The sequence below is a fragment of the Homo sapiens genome, chromosome 2 (genome assembly GCF_000001405.40).
Source record: "Homo sapiens chromosome 2, GRCh38.p14 Primary Assembly".
Classification (NCBI taxonomy): Eukaryota; Metazoa; Chordata; class Mammalia; order Primates; family Hominidae; genus Homo; species Homo sapiens.
The window spans coordinates 80,383,461-80,396,832 of NC_000002.12; the positions used below are offsets into that span (position 1 = coordinate 80,383,461).

At 39.2% G+C, this 13,372-nt stretch overlaps 1 protein-coding gene across 14 annotated transcripts in view; it reads left to right on the plus strand.

The window, feature by feature from the left end:
- Positions 1-13,372, plus strand: part of CTNNA2 (catenin alpha 2) — a 1,463,404-nt gene that overhangs the window by 1,198,084 nt on the left and 251,948 nt on the right. For all 14 annotated transcript variants that reach the window (NM_001399737.1, XM_024452714.2, XM_011532556.3 and 11 more), the window contains one exon: positions 9,751-9,831. In NM_001399737.1, coding sequence (NP_001386666.1) covers positions 9,751-9,831 — 81 coding nt within the window. The remainder of the gene's footprint in view (positions 1-9,750; positions 9,832-13,372) is intronic.

Here is a 13,372-nt window from a genome sequence, read left to right on the forward strand (position 1 = left end):
TATTCTGCAGCCGCACAAAAACTTATTAGGTAACACTAGGTAGCATACTGTAAATATATGCATGGTTTGGCACACTACCTACATGAAAGATGTGGTCAGAGGTGGGAGATTTTGAGCTTTTCTTTGAAGAATGGGTACAACCTGGCTAGGTGAATTGTGAGTTAGAAGGGGAATGGCCCCTTCCAGTCAGGCACCAATATGAGCCTATAAAGAAGGAGGACGTTTGTGAGTTGTTGAGAAAATACAAATAGATTAGAACTGGACCATTATGAAGGGGAGACCAGATTCTGAAGCCCTAACATACAGGCCCAAGAAAAAAAAAAATTACCATTCAACCTAGCAATTTCATTACTTGGGTATATACCCAAAGGCATATGAATCATTCTACCATAAAGACACACGTACTAATTTGTTTATTGCAGCACTCTTCACAATAGCAAAGACATGGTCTCAACCTAAATGACCATCAACGGTAGAATGGATAAAGAAAATGTGTCACATATACCATGAAACACTATGCAGCCACAAAAAAGAACAAGATCATGTTCTTTGCAGCAACATGGATGGAGCTGGAGACCATTATCCTTAACAAACTAATACAGGAACAGACAACCAAATATCACATGTTCTCCCTTACAAATAGGAGCTAAATAACATGAACACATGGACACAAAGAGGGGAACAACAGACGTTGAGGTCTACTTGAGGGTGGAGGGTGGGAGGAAGGAGAGGATCCGAAAAAATATATATCAGGTACTATGCTTAGTGTCTAGTGACAAAATAATTCTTCTGTAGGTGAACTTATGTCACAAAATATCTGCACTGTTTGGCACACTACCTGCATGACGGATTTGATGTGACACATAATGTGTGTGACACAAAATGTGTCACACAAAATCCTTGTGACATGAGTTTACCTATATAAGAAACCTGCATGTGTATCCCCGAACCTCAAAGTTAAAAGAAAAAAAAAAAAGATTCAAAAACAAAAAAAGGAAATAGGAGTTCAGTAAAATCTAAACAAGAATTCAGGAATACTGAGCTGAGGAAATTAAAGCTTGTTCTTAGCAGGCCTTAATGAGGATGATGAGGGAACGCAGTCAACAAAGGATGCTGTGGCATTCGAGATCTCCACTGTGGTGAGTGGGTGTCATGGAAAGAGAGATTTGAGGAACAGTATGAATCCTTATAGACTTTTTGATGGGTGGTTTCTCAAGGTTAGTAACTAACTGGATTTAGGGGAGAAATACGATATTAAGATTTAGAGCTGGGTCAGTAATTTGTGCTGGGGAAAACCCTGTGAATGAACCTAGATGCCCTGCCAAGACATGAACTCCTCAGACAGTGCTCCAGACCTTGCCTGAGGTCTGCCCTGATACCCACCACTCTGCTTTCCAGTTACTGCGGCTTAGTATTTTAAGATCTCTGGTTTAATAAGACCCTTTTCTTTGTAAGTGACAGAAATGCCACATGAATAAACATGGAGGCATTTATTAACTCATGGCACCAGGTAACCCATGGATAGAAACTTATGGCTTTAAGTGCAACTAGATTCAGGAGGCCAAGTGTGTCATTCATTGACTTAGAAAAATTTACTGAAAACCTGTTGCATTCCAGGTACAACTCCAGGTTCTATATAATGACAAGCAAAACAATTATTTTATAGGTTAATGTGTTTTATATACTAAATGCTTGTGTCCCCTCAAAATTCAAATGTTGAAACCTCCAATGTGATGGTATTTGGAGGTGGAGGCCTTTGATAAGTGATTATGTCATGAAAGTGGAGGTCTCCTGAATGGGATTAGTGGAGGCCTTTGATAAGTGATTATGTCATGAGGGTGGAGATCTCCCGAATGGGATAAGTGCCCTTATAAAAGAGACCCCAGAGGACTCCCTTGCCCCCTTGGCCATGTGAACACACAAAAAGAAGACAGCCTTCTTGGAATAAGAAGTGGACCCTCACCAGACACAGAGGTCTGCCAATGCTTTAATCTAGGACTTCCCAGCCTCCAGAAATGTGAGAAATAAATTTCCTGTTGTCATAAGCCACCCAGTCTATGATATTTTTGTTATAGCAGCTCAAATGAATTATTAATAAAAGAACACATAATGGAAAATATGAACCATTTTGATTTGACTCCAAAAGCTGACTTCTCTTTTCTTCCCCTCCTTCTTCTTCCCTTAAATTTCTTTTTCTCCAATTCTTCATCCCTTTCTTGCCGCAGTTTCTCTCATCATCTCTCCCTCCTGTCTCTCTGTCTTTCTCCGTCTTCCTCTGCCTCTCCTTCTTTCAGCTATGCTCTTCTTTTTGTGGGGTCTATTTTTGGAGACTCCCCAAGTAGTTCAAGGTTTATCTAGTACCAGTTTATCAATCTCAGTGGGAAAATATGTCTCCTTCCTAATAATTCTACCTACAACCTGTGATTCTACTGCTGATTCTCACTGGTTTGGATGTTATTATCAGTTTGTTCCCTGCCCACAGAGTCTTGGTTGGGAGTTACGAGGGCTGCTACTGAAATAACATGGATGGGTTGATGGGGGGATGAGAACAGGTGTTGATCTCTCTGAGCCAGTCCTGCTTTGCGCATTGTCCAAGGCATATCCTGATATTGCTCTACTATCGGATAGGGCCTGGTAGTCTCACCAATATTACCATATTCTTACATTATATATTGAGGATTATTTCTTTGAAAATGGATGCAGCCTGGCAGAGAAGAATCAGAGATACATCAGTGTTTCCCTTTTCACCTTTACCTCCTTCCCTTCCCCACCACCACCTCAGAGACCAAGAAAGCTAGGTTGTGATGTGGTCAGAGTATGTTGATTATAGATTTGCTTTGTGGCCACTGTTCAACTTTCATCCATTCTAAAGAGATACTGCCTGTTTCTTTTCCAAGAGAAATGTCCTTAGCTAGTGAAAAGGTATATTTAGAAAGGTCCACATGCTCCAACTAAGATTTATACATAATATAAAGATATTATGAAATGTTCAAGGTTCTATAAATAATGGTGCTATTTGTACTAAGGATATGATTTCTATATCCAGGGTTTCAGGGTAGGTGGGCAACCCTCCAAAAATGATAGTGTGACTGTTGGATCAATAGATAATTTTTTCTTCTCCCTCCTGTTGTCTAAATTGTAGGTTTAAATGACAGCAAAATGTGTTGGAGATAGAGTGCATGGCATATTATTGCTTTCTGGCATTCTGATGATTTTGACTTCCATTTCTTTCAAATGACAACAATTTGAAAACTGGGCATTTGATTAGCTCCTAAAACATCTAATATATTACAGTCACAGCTACATGATATTTTGAAGATTCCTTATACATTCAGTCATGTCTGCAGGTCCCTTCAAGGGAAAGAAAGGAAGTGATAAACATCTACCTTCTTACAACCATGTCCCACATATTAATATAGTACCCTGAAACATGGTTGATGTGCAGCCATGGATCCAATGGAAGCACCAAGATGGTCGATTTATATTCCCAGGGCTTCCATGAGAGACCCCCCAGAACTGGATTATGTGTTTATGGTAGGATGAGGGGCTGGGATGGGAACAGCCTTTAAAGAAATACTCATTTTCTGGGAGGCCAAGGTGGGTGGATCACGAGGTCAGGAGATCAAGACCATCTTGGCTAACATGGTGAAACCCCGTCTTTATTAAAAATACAAAAAAATTAGCCGGGCGTGGTGGCGGGCACCTGTAGTCCCAGCTACTCGGGAGGCTGAGGCAGGAGAATGGCATGAACCCGGGAGGCGGAGCTTGCAGTGAGCCGAGATTGTGCCACTGCACTCCAGCCTGGGCAATAGAGCAAGACTTTGTCTCAAAAAAAAAAGAAATACTCATTTTCAGAGATTTATAAATTAATAATTTTTATTGCTTTTTGTTTTATAAGTTAGGGAGTCAGTATCAGTTGTGTATTATTCAGCATGTTTATATAAATCCATTACAAACACCTTCAGAATTTCAGAAGGGGTGATGGGTATTTATATAGGGAGACAGTGGGGTGGGGATCCTTGTCCAAAGTGGGCCAAAGGAGGGGCCTTTATTTTGCAAAGGGGCAAAGAGCAGTGTTATTAAAAAGAAATTGTTGAAATAAAATATTGTTCTTTTTCTGAAGATTAATTGTAAAAAGAGAAATTTCTGTTAATGGCTTAATCCTTCTATTTAAGGACAAACGAAATATAAAGGTCTTCAAGGTAGTATCTGATCCTTTAGCAAACTGGACTTGAATTTAAAGCCAGAGGATGGGAGAATAAAGGATCTCCTATTAAAAATCCAAGTCAGGAAATTTATTCCCTTTGCTCTCATGAATTCAAGCCATGGATCTTCCCCAAATGCGTTTTGTAAAATAGTTCTCAAAGACTAAAACAAATAAAGTTTAATAAACATGCATCTCCCTAGCACAACAGATGGCAACTAGGGAAGGTGCCCACAGCAATGTAGAGAGTAGTCCCGCCTGGCTTCGTTTTTTAATAACGATATTTATTAAATGGCTATGTCTATTGCACACTCATTCTCTGCAGGTAAAGATAAAGAAGAAAAGTGGGGAGCAGGCTCAAAAAAGGCATATAAGTTCTGCGGACAAAAAGCAGCAGAGGAAATACACCTCAAAGTGAGATTTTACTGGTAGCCTTTGAAGAGAAACACATGAAACTATGAAATCACAGAATCCTGAAATTTTAGAGAAGGGAGATCGTTTAGATATGGAATGGAAAAAGCCCTGGCTGGGAGTCTGGAGGTGCTGGTCAGATACTAATGAGCCAGGTGATCATAATCAGTCACTTCATCTCTCTAGACCTTGCTGTCCTTATCTTTGAGGGGAATGAGGAGGTGGGCAAAGAAAGACAGCTAACGTTGACTGAGTTAACTCTGCTGGTTAGGTATTGGCTAAACACATTACAGGGCCTATGTCTTTTTATGCTCCCCAAAAGCAAGCACTTAGCCACGTTTTAGAGAAGAGAAAAACTTCAACTGCCTGTCAATTCCCAGCCCTTTCTGCAGTGTTATGATTGTTTCCCTGTAACAGGAAAGTATAGTTACAGGTGCTTGATGGTTTTTCTGCTTCTCATATTTCACGATTCCATAATTCATCCTTGGCCCTTTCATTCTACAGATGATAAGGTTGGAGTCTAGAGATGTGGCCAGGTCACTTAGGTGGTTATTGGCAGAGAGTGGTTACAACTAATTGGCTTTTGTTTCCTTCTGTTCAGCAAAAACAGGGAATAATTGGATGACTGACTTAACACCACACATTTTGCTTTTATTATTAGGTGATGATGTCAAAATAAATACTTACATCTGCTTTCACTTCAGTTTGTTAAAGTATGCTTAATTTGTAGAGCCTGGAGGGTCAGGGATGGAGAGCTAGGTGAGGCTTCTGGTTGACTCCTAGGGAACTAGAATGTGCTTGTGATGATCAAATCCTTAGTTACTAGACAAAATATGTCCCAGGACCTACTGTGTAAAAGACTGAACTGGAGATTCTGCCCCTCATTTCACCTCTTAGAAATATCTCAGACTAGTTGTGTATTTAAAATGAACTGCCCCAAATATTGCCTTTTTAAAGGGAGAGAACTTTTTCTTTAGGGATACCAGTTTTTGGCAAGGTTTTCGTACATTATCTGCCTGGATGGAGAAAGCAGAAGGACAGGTGATCCAAAAATAGTTTCTATGTAGTTTCTAAATCAATTCTTTCATTTTTTTTCCACATCAAAAATACTTTCCTAATTACCCTGAATAGTCTAAATGTCTTTTATTGTTTCTAGCACATTGCCATTGTGATTGATCGTCCTGCTAACCTTGTGAAGAAGACAGAGCATATATTATGCTATCCATTGTGCTTATGACAAAACTCAGACTTTTAAAAAAAAATGGGGTAAATGGTTAGTCAAGGATCATGGAGGCTAATAATAGGGAGCTGATACTAGGAGGCAAGTCTCCGCTCCTTCCTTCCTCCCTCCTCACTATCCCCCATTGCTCTCTCCCTTTCTCCTCTCCTCTTTCTCCCTCTCCGTCTGTGTCTCTGTCTCTCTATCTCTCCCTCTTTTCCTCTCTCTGTCTCACTCTCAGTAGCTGGCTTCCTGTCCAGTTTAAACTGATGAATTTAAAATTATGGCCACATTTAGACATACAGAGCTGAGGAAAGTAGGACATAATGGCTTCCAAGTTCCCATTTGCTGTGCAAAGCTGAGCGTTGACAAGCTACTATTGTTATTCCTGCACAAATACCTTATTTTTTAAAATTGGAGCTAAGAAAGGGCCAGTAAATTGACTATCCCATCCAGTGGCCCAAATTTCCTAAACCCTAGTCCTTGTTTTAACATTCCCCAGCCTTCATGTACAGTCACAACAAATATGGCTCCAGAGTCAACTTCATTTCTGAATTGTTTTCAGCCAAAGACTTTGAGGCTGGAGAAACCCAGGATCACAAATATTACACAAACAGAATCCGGACAAGAGTAACATGGAATGATTAATGTTACCAGAGATTCTCTGGGCTTGCAGATCAAAATAAAGTTAGTAGTAATCACACTATAAAGAAGCTCTTATAGAAATAATTTGTCTCTGTAGCTAGTCAAACTGATCTCTTCACATCATGGAGAAAAAGCTGGCTCATTTCACTCACTGCCTTCCCAGAACCACCTTGCCTTCTTGTCTACATGACTTTCTTTTTGCCAGTCAAAGTGCCTCTCTCTTTCCTATTCTAATCTTACCCAGGGCTTAAGGTCCAGCTAATTTTCTCTTTCCTCTGTGACTTGACTTCCCAAAGGCAACATCTTCTCCCTCTTCTGAGCAACTCAGTCATTGAGCGTGCTAATCTTTCTGCACAGTTTTTGGTATTGTTCTGGTCTTGTGTTCTGGTCTATTCCCCTGTATCAGGAGCTCTTTGATGGTGAGAATTGTGGCTATCACTTTTCATGTGTTCCCCACAGGGACCAATAGGACGCCTCACATCTAAGGGATGTGTGTTTTACAGTTGCAGGATATTGATGCCAGAAGGGATACAGATCCCACATGTTGCCCTTCTGCTCACAGAATGGGGCAACCAAGCCTCCCAAACGTGTCTGTAGCAACTGCAGTTACAATCTTGAACATGACTCTTTCCCCTGGGGGTAGGATTGTCAGATTCAGCACATAAAAATACAGGATGCCCAGTTAATGTGAATTTTAGGTAAACAATAATTTTTAAAGAATAAATATATCCGCACTGTTTTTTAAGTTTAAAAGTTTAAAATGTCATCTGATGCTGCATTTGCACAACTCACCTCATTCACCCTACCCTAATCCTAGCCCTATTGGATCCTGTCTTTATTTAAATTTTTGATATTTTATTTTCAACATGGATTTATTTGCGTTAGTTTTGATTTTAAAAATATTACATTAGGTCGGGCGTGGTGGCTCATGCCTGTAATACCAGCACTTAGGGAGGCTGACGTGGGTGGATCACAAGGTCAGGAGTTTGAGACCAGCCTGGCCAATATGGTGAAATCCTGTCTCTACTAAAAATACAAAAAAATTAGCTGGACATGGTGGCACATGTCTGTAATCCCAGCTATTCAGGAGACTGAGGCAGGAGAATTGCTTGAACCTAGGAGGCAGAGGTTGCAGTGAGCTGAGATTGCGCCACTGTGCTCCAGCCTGGGTGACAGAGCACGACTGTCTCAGAAAAAAAAAAAAAAAAAAGTATGTATTACATTAAAATATTATTTATCTTGATGACTGAGTTCCTTGGTGCCACCTTAAATTTTGCATCTAAATTATACTCCCTCTCTCCCTCTTCACTCTGTTCACACCAGTCCCAGGCCCATTTGATTCTCATTCTTCTCATCTGAAAAGTGGTTGTATAGATATGGCACTGGCAGGATGGAATAAGCCCAGAGTCTGGCATTTACATTCACTCAGTAATTATTTTGTGTATCTAAAGTGTCTCAATTTTTTTCTTTTCACTTTGAAAAGTTTAGTAATCGATCCTCCATCTGTTGCAGCCAAGTTTTCAACTAAACTCATAACTTTTAATGTTTGAAAGTAAGTTTTTTTATTCTAATAAATGAATAGGCCACAGGAAATTATGATTTTCAGAAGGATCATGGTCCAGAGCTCCACATAGGTGCCCTGTATTTTGATGGCAGACAACCTATTTGCAAGGAGAGAACCAAACAGAAAAGGAATAGCCTTTGGCTGCTGAATTTGTGGCAGATCTGAACTTGGAGAGGCAGAGCATTGAAGTCACACTCACTGCACAACCACATTCCCTTGAAAGACAGAGCAGCACGTTATTCTTCTCCATACACTTTTGTTTTCTTGGAGCTATTTGTAGGCTGATATTTCAAAGTTGTAAAATGTTAGCCACTGTATTTTAAGCTCTTTCTACTTAAAAACCTTAGTGTCTACATCTGAAAGAGTGAGTGTGTGAGTTTAGGGAGTGGGAAAGGATGATGGGGAATGGTAGGATTTTAGAAGACTAAAAATATATGCACATATGCCTTGGTTTGGGCTTTTTAATGAAAACCCTATAGGGCTGTGCATCAGACATTTGTTCAGAAAAAATAGTTAATTAAGCAAGTGGCAGAGAAGAGTGACTACTTTAAACCCAGCTATGGAGAGCGGGTATGTATGTATCAGCTTTATGCTTCCCGGATTTTGTCACGGAAAGAGAACATTTAGAAACCTGTTGGATGGTAATTTTTATGCATTGCCAAATCATGTTATCCCATTAGGCACAACTTAAGATCTGGGATCTCATTTTATCATATAAGCAAATTACTACAGGGACCTACATGATTTTATAGAGACTGAGTAGGCCACAATAATTGACTTGCCACTAGCACCATAAATAAATCAATCTGTAGCGTTTGACTAAAATTTAGATAATTTAATCAATTTGACAAGGTTTTTGAAAACATTTATCTTTTAAGGGGAAGATTATTGTCATCCATAAAGTTTATAGAGCTTTTCATCCATGGGAATCTTGTTGCTCTTTTAAAAAGACAATGGGGATTCTTTTCTGTTGAGTTTTAATTGTTTTTCTGTACCCACCAAAAAAAGGAGAAAAAGCAAAGAAATAGGAAACTAGTGAAACTTCCAAGTGAACAATTTATTAAAGAACACTTTTTTTTTTCTCTACCTCTGCCTGTTGTAGTCATAAGGGAAATTTTCCTCATGACCTCAAGCTGTGGGTTGCTTATTATCATTTTTAGCATTCCACTACATGACAGAGCAGAGATTAGCAATACTGTATTTTCTAGTAAAGCATCTCTTTTGAATTTGATATAGAAGTTGCAATATGGCTTAAAAAATATTGGTATAAAATTCCGAATTCTGGTGATTTACTTAAAATCTTTTTCGATTTAGTTTTTATTATCTCAGTTATCTTCTATTCAGAAATGTGCCTACACAATATAGACACACAAAGCATTTGTATTTGAAGGCAAAAACAAAACATCCTTGTTATATTAACTTAACTGCTAAGCGTCTGGAGGAGGGATGAAAACACAGATTTGTGTGGAGTTGAATATGGACATATGTGTAACCATCCTGAGAACGTATTGGTCTTTATCAATTTTAATTATTATTTCAGGAAAAACCAACTTTAGAGACCAAATCATGTTATAGTTATGTATTGAAAATAATCTTTTTAAAAAATTGTTTGAATTTAACTTCTCATGTTTTCCTGATTTTTTTAAATTTTTAATGTCTCTAACATTGAATATGCTAAATCAGAAATTATTTCTCTTTTCTTAATAGACTGGAAGGAAAGAAAAAGGAGATCCTCTCAACATTGCGATTGATAAGATGACTAAGAAAACAAGAGATCTAAGGAGACAGGTACTATTTTTTATTTTTACTTTAAGTCCATGATATTCAGTAGTGGTTTCCAACAATATCCTTTTCCAGGGTGTCTTCTTGGAGATGACAATGAGGTTGTTATTCTTTATAACATTTACATATACAAATAAAAACCCCATTTTATCGGCAAGGTAGAGATTGCTGGACAGAGACGAGCCAGTTGCAAGCAAGGAGACAGTTCCTGAGCAGGTGGCTTCTCACTGCCCAGATCCAATCTGTCCCAGTGGAGACTGGATGAATTCACTACTTCTACATCTGGTCTTTAGTTTTCCAAATCCAGGTATGCCAAGAGCCTGCCTCTGATCTTTGCTGGTTCTTACTTATCAAACTCCCGGGAATTTAGTGATAAACCAGAATGCTAATGGTTAATGAGAAATACAACTCTTAATCTGATGGGTTAATTAAGGTCTCTTGGCCAGTGTATTCCCTTGGGAACATAAATCTAGGAGAAAGTTTGCTTATCAGATGGTTGTTTGGGAAGCAGGGAATAAAATGGCTAATGACATCATTAGTTTGATGGGTCTATTTTTCTTAACAGGGAGAAATCTCCGGTCAGGGCCCTTTTTCTCCTTGAAAGTGTTGTATGAACGCTGGTAAATGTTGCCTTAGAACCCTGATTTTATATGTGGCCATGATGAACTCCTCTTTCTTTGGTAGTATTATTTCTCTGAAAGAGATTCTATCACCCACTGAGTTATAATAAAACCCCCTCTTCTTGATTTCTGCCCAGGAGGGCAGAATCCTGTCTCCTGCTGTAGCTTTGGCTATGTCCATCTCATTCACTAATTGTTGACTGTGACAGCCAGCTAAAACCAACCACTGCCATGGCAGCACCTGCTGTATTTTCTGCAGCTGAAACAATTGGGTTAGCATGGCCACATCCAGCATTTGCTCCTGCAGTGTGTTAAGTACAAACAAAATTAGCAAGAGGCCTGGGCGAGAATGGCCAAGCAGCAACTTGGAAATGATTTGAATGAGAGGAACCCACCACTTCTGATGACTGCTGGGGAGCTTCTTGGCTTTTATCAAGACATCACCTGAAGGTGTAGACACACTTGATCTGGTGTCCTTCAGAAGATATCACAATTATTTCTGGAATATGAATATTCTAGCTCCCCAGCTAACAAACCTTTTGGGGGAAACATTCCCTTTTACTTTACTTTGAAATAAGGCAGAATACAACATTGTCCTTTTAGGTATTAGTAACTAACAGCAAATGAATATATGGCCAGGTCTCTATCTCTTTGTTCTCTTAGATCATCTCTACATATCCCCATTTGATATGAAATGATATGGGTGGCAGGAATTGGGATGGAGGTTAGTTGAAAACGCTGAATTAGATATCAGAGCCCTTGGTTTTAGTGTTAGCTCTGCCGCTAAACTGGCAGTGTGATTGTGGATCCTTCATCTCTTGGTCTTACAAAAATAAGGAGCCAAACTAGATCTGCAAACTCTTTTTTTTTTAAGCTGTATAAGATTGTGTGAGTCTAAGGGATATTCTCATTCCTATGTCAGAGGTCCCAATGACTGATAATCACAGATTTTTAAAAGCAGTGGGAGGACATCTCCAGGTCTTGCCTTTGGCTAGATTGTCAACCAGCTAAAATTCATGAACTGGGTCTTCCCATCTTCCTGATCCCTTGGTCTCAGTAGTGATTACATTTTTTTTTACATTCAAGAACAAGCCCCCTCAGCTCTTTTCAATCATGGACCAATCATGGCAGGATTATTATTATTATTACTAGAAATGAATGAAAAAGTAATTTTTACTCTTATGTTACAATTCCTGGAAAGGGTTGACTCTTTTTAGCAGAGGACAGTGGTAAAATTTGAAGGTGAAAAATTATGGTGGAATTTTAAATGCTTAGGTGACAAGCTCCTTGGAGAGCTTCCTGTAAGATGGCAGTGGAAGGAGTGTGTCCTTCCCTGAAGTTATTCCATGTATGTTATTTCTTTCCTTACCTTTCTCCAAAATATAGAGGAATAAGGGTAAAAGGAGAAATGTTTCATGGTATTAAGATCCAACAGTTATGGCATAATTTCACACTGTATCCATGAATTTGGTTGAAACATCTTTCTCTTCTCCAATCTGCCTTTCTAAAATGACGATGGTCCCCATCTGTCAGTTTCATCCCTGCCCATATGTTGAGATATTTTTGTCTTTCTTCTCATCTCTTTGCCTCCCCATGTACACCTGTAGTGGCACAAAAGCTTCTCTGATCTAAATTGAAGCTACCTAGCACTTGGGCAGATGGAACATGCAATGACTAATTTGTTTGGCCCAGGTAGGTCATAAGCTTAGATGTGGGTAACTAGTAATTAGATTAACAAGGTGTTACCTGGGTCTCTGATAGCCCCTCCACAATAGTGGCTCAGAGAACGCTAATGGCTCAAGCAAATGTATACTGCTGAGATACTTTCTATTCTTTCAATTACAGATAAATGTATGCTAGAGCAGATTCTAAAAGAGATCCCTCAGTGATCATGTCCACTTCCCTGTACACATGTATTCCTTTGTATAATATTTAGAGAGATCAAATCTCATAGGGGAAAAAGGTGAAATCAAATATTTTAGTTTATAAAAAATATTTCTAGTGACATCCATCATGTCCCGCTCTTTCAGTCTCCTGCCTCCTCCTCATAGCGCTAAGTTTGGGCAGTGCTTTTCAGAAGGGTGACCCTGGAGCCTTGAAAAGTTTTAGCCACCAAATTGAAAAGAAACAAAGTCAATCATGATCATTATCTTGGACTTTCCTAATGAAAGAAAGTGGAATTAGACTTGTAGATACTCAAAGAAATCAAGATTAATTGAATATAAAGGATTTTGGTTTAAGTGGAATTTTCAGGTAAGTAGAACTCCTCTCTTGAGGCAACATATCCCAAGGAACTGGGGCATTATAAATGGTGAAAAAGATTATAGGGACCCAAAGGTACCATTTAAAACTGATTAACATGAATCCATCTTGCCAGTCAAACCCATGACAGGGGGCAGTGGTAGAGCAGAATCCTCCTAAGGAGTATTTTGTTTAGAATCAAAAATGGATTTAGGGGATGATAACTGCCAGCTTTAAGCATTGGGTTCTCATTTTAAAGCTGTGGGCACAGCAGGCCCTGTGTCTGAGCTATTGTCACTGCTGTGATTCTGGAATCAGCCCAGTGTGGAAACAATAGCTCTTGGCTGATGCCCCTTCTGGGTGCCTACTGGCCCACATGGTCTGTCCATCCCCCAGAGAAGACTCAGTCAGTTTCTGCCAACTGTACCCCTATTCCCTTTTGCTCTGTGCCACCTATGAACTATTCTAGGTATGATCTCTTAATTTTTCCTACAATTACAGGGATGCTAGTTGATTCTGAATATTATTTTTGTACTTTTATTAGTCCCTGATTTTCCAAGTTGATAAATCAGCACCCAAACATTTCTCTCTGAGAAGCTAATAAATAATATCTATGACATTGCAATGTTGCTAAACTTAGCAACTCTTTCACTCCCCAAACAAATCAAAGGCCTAATTCTTATTCC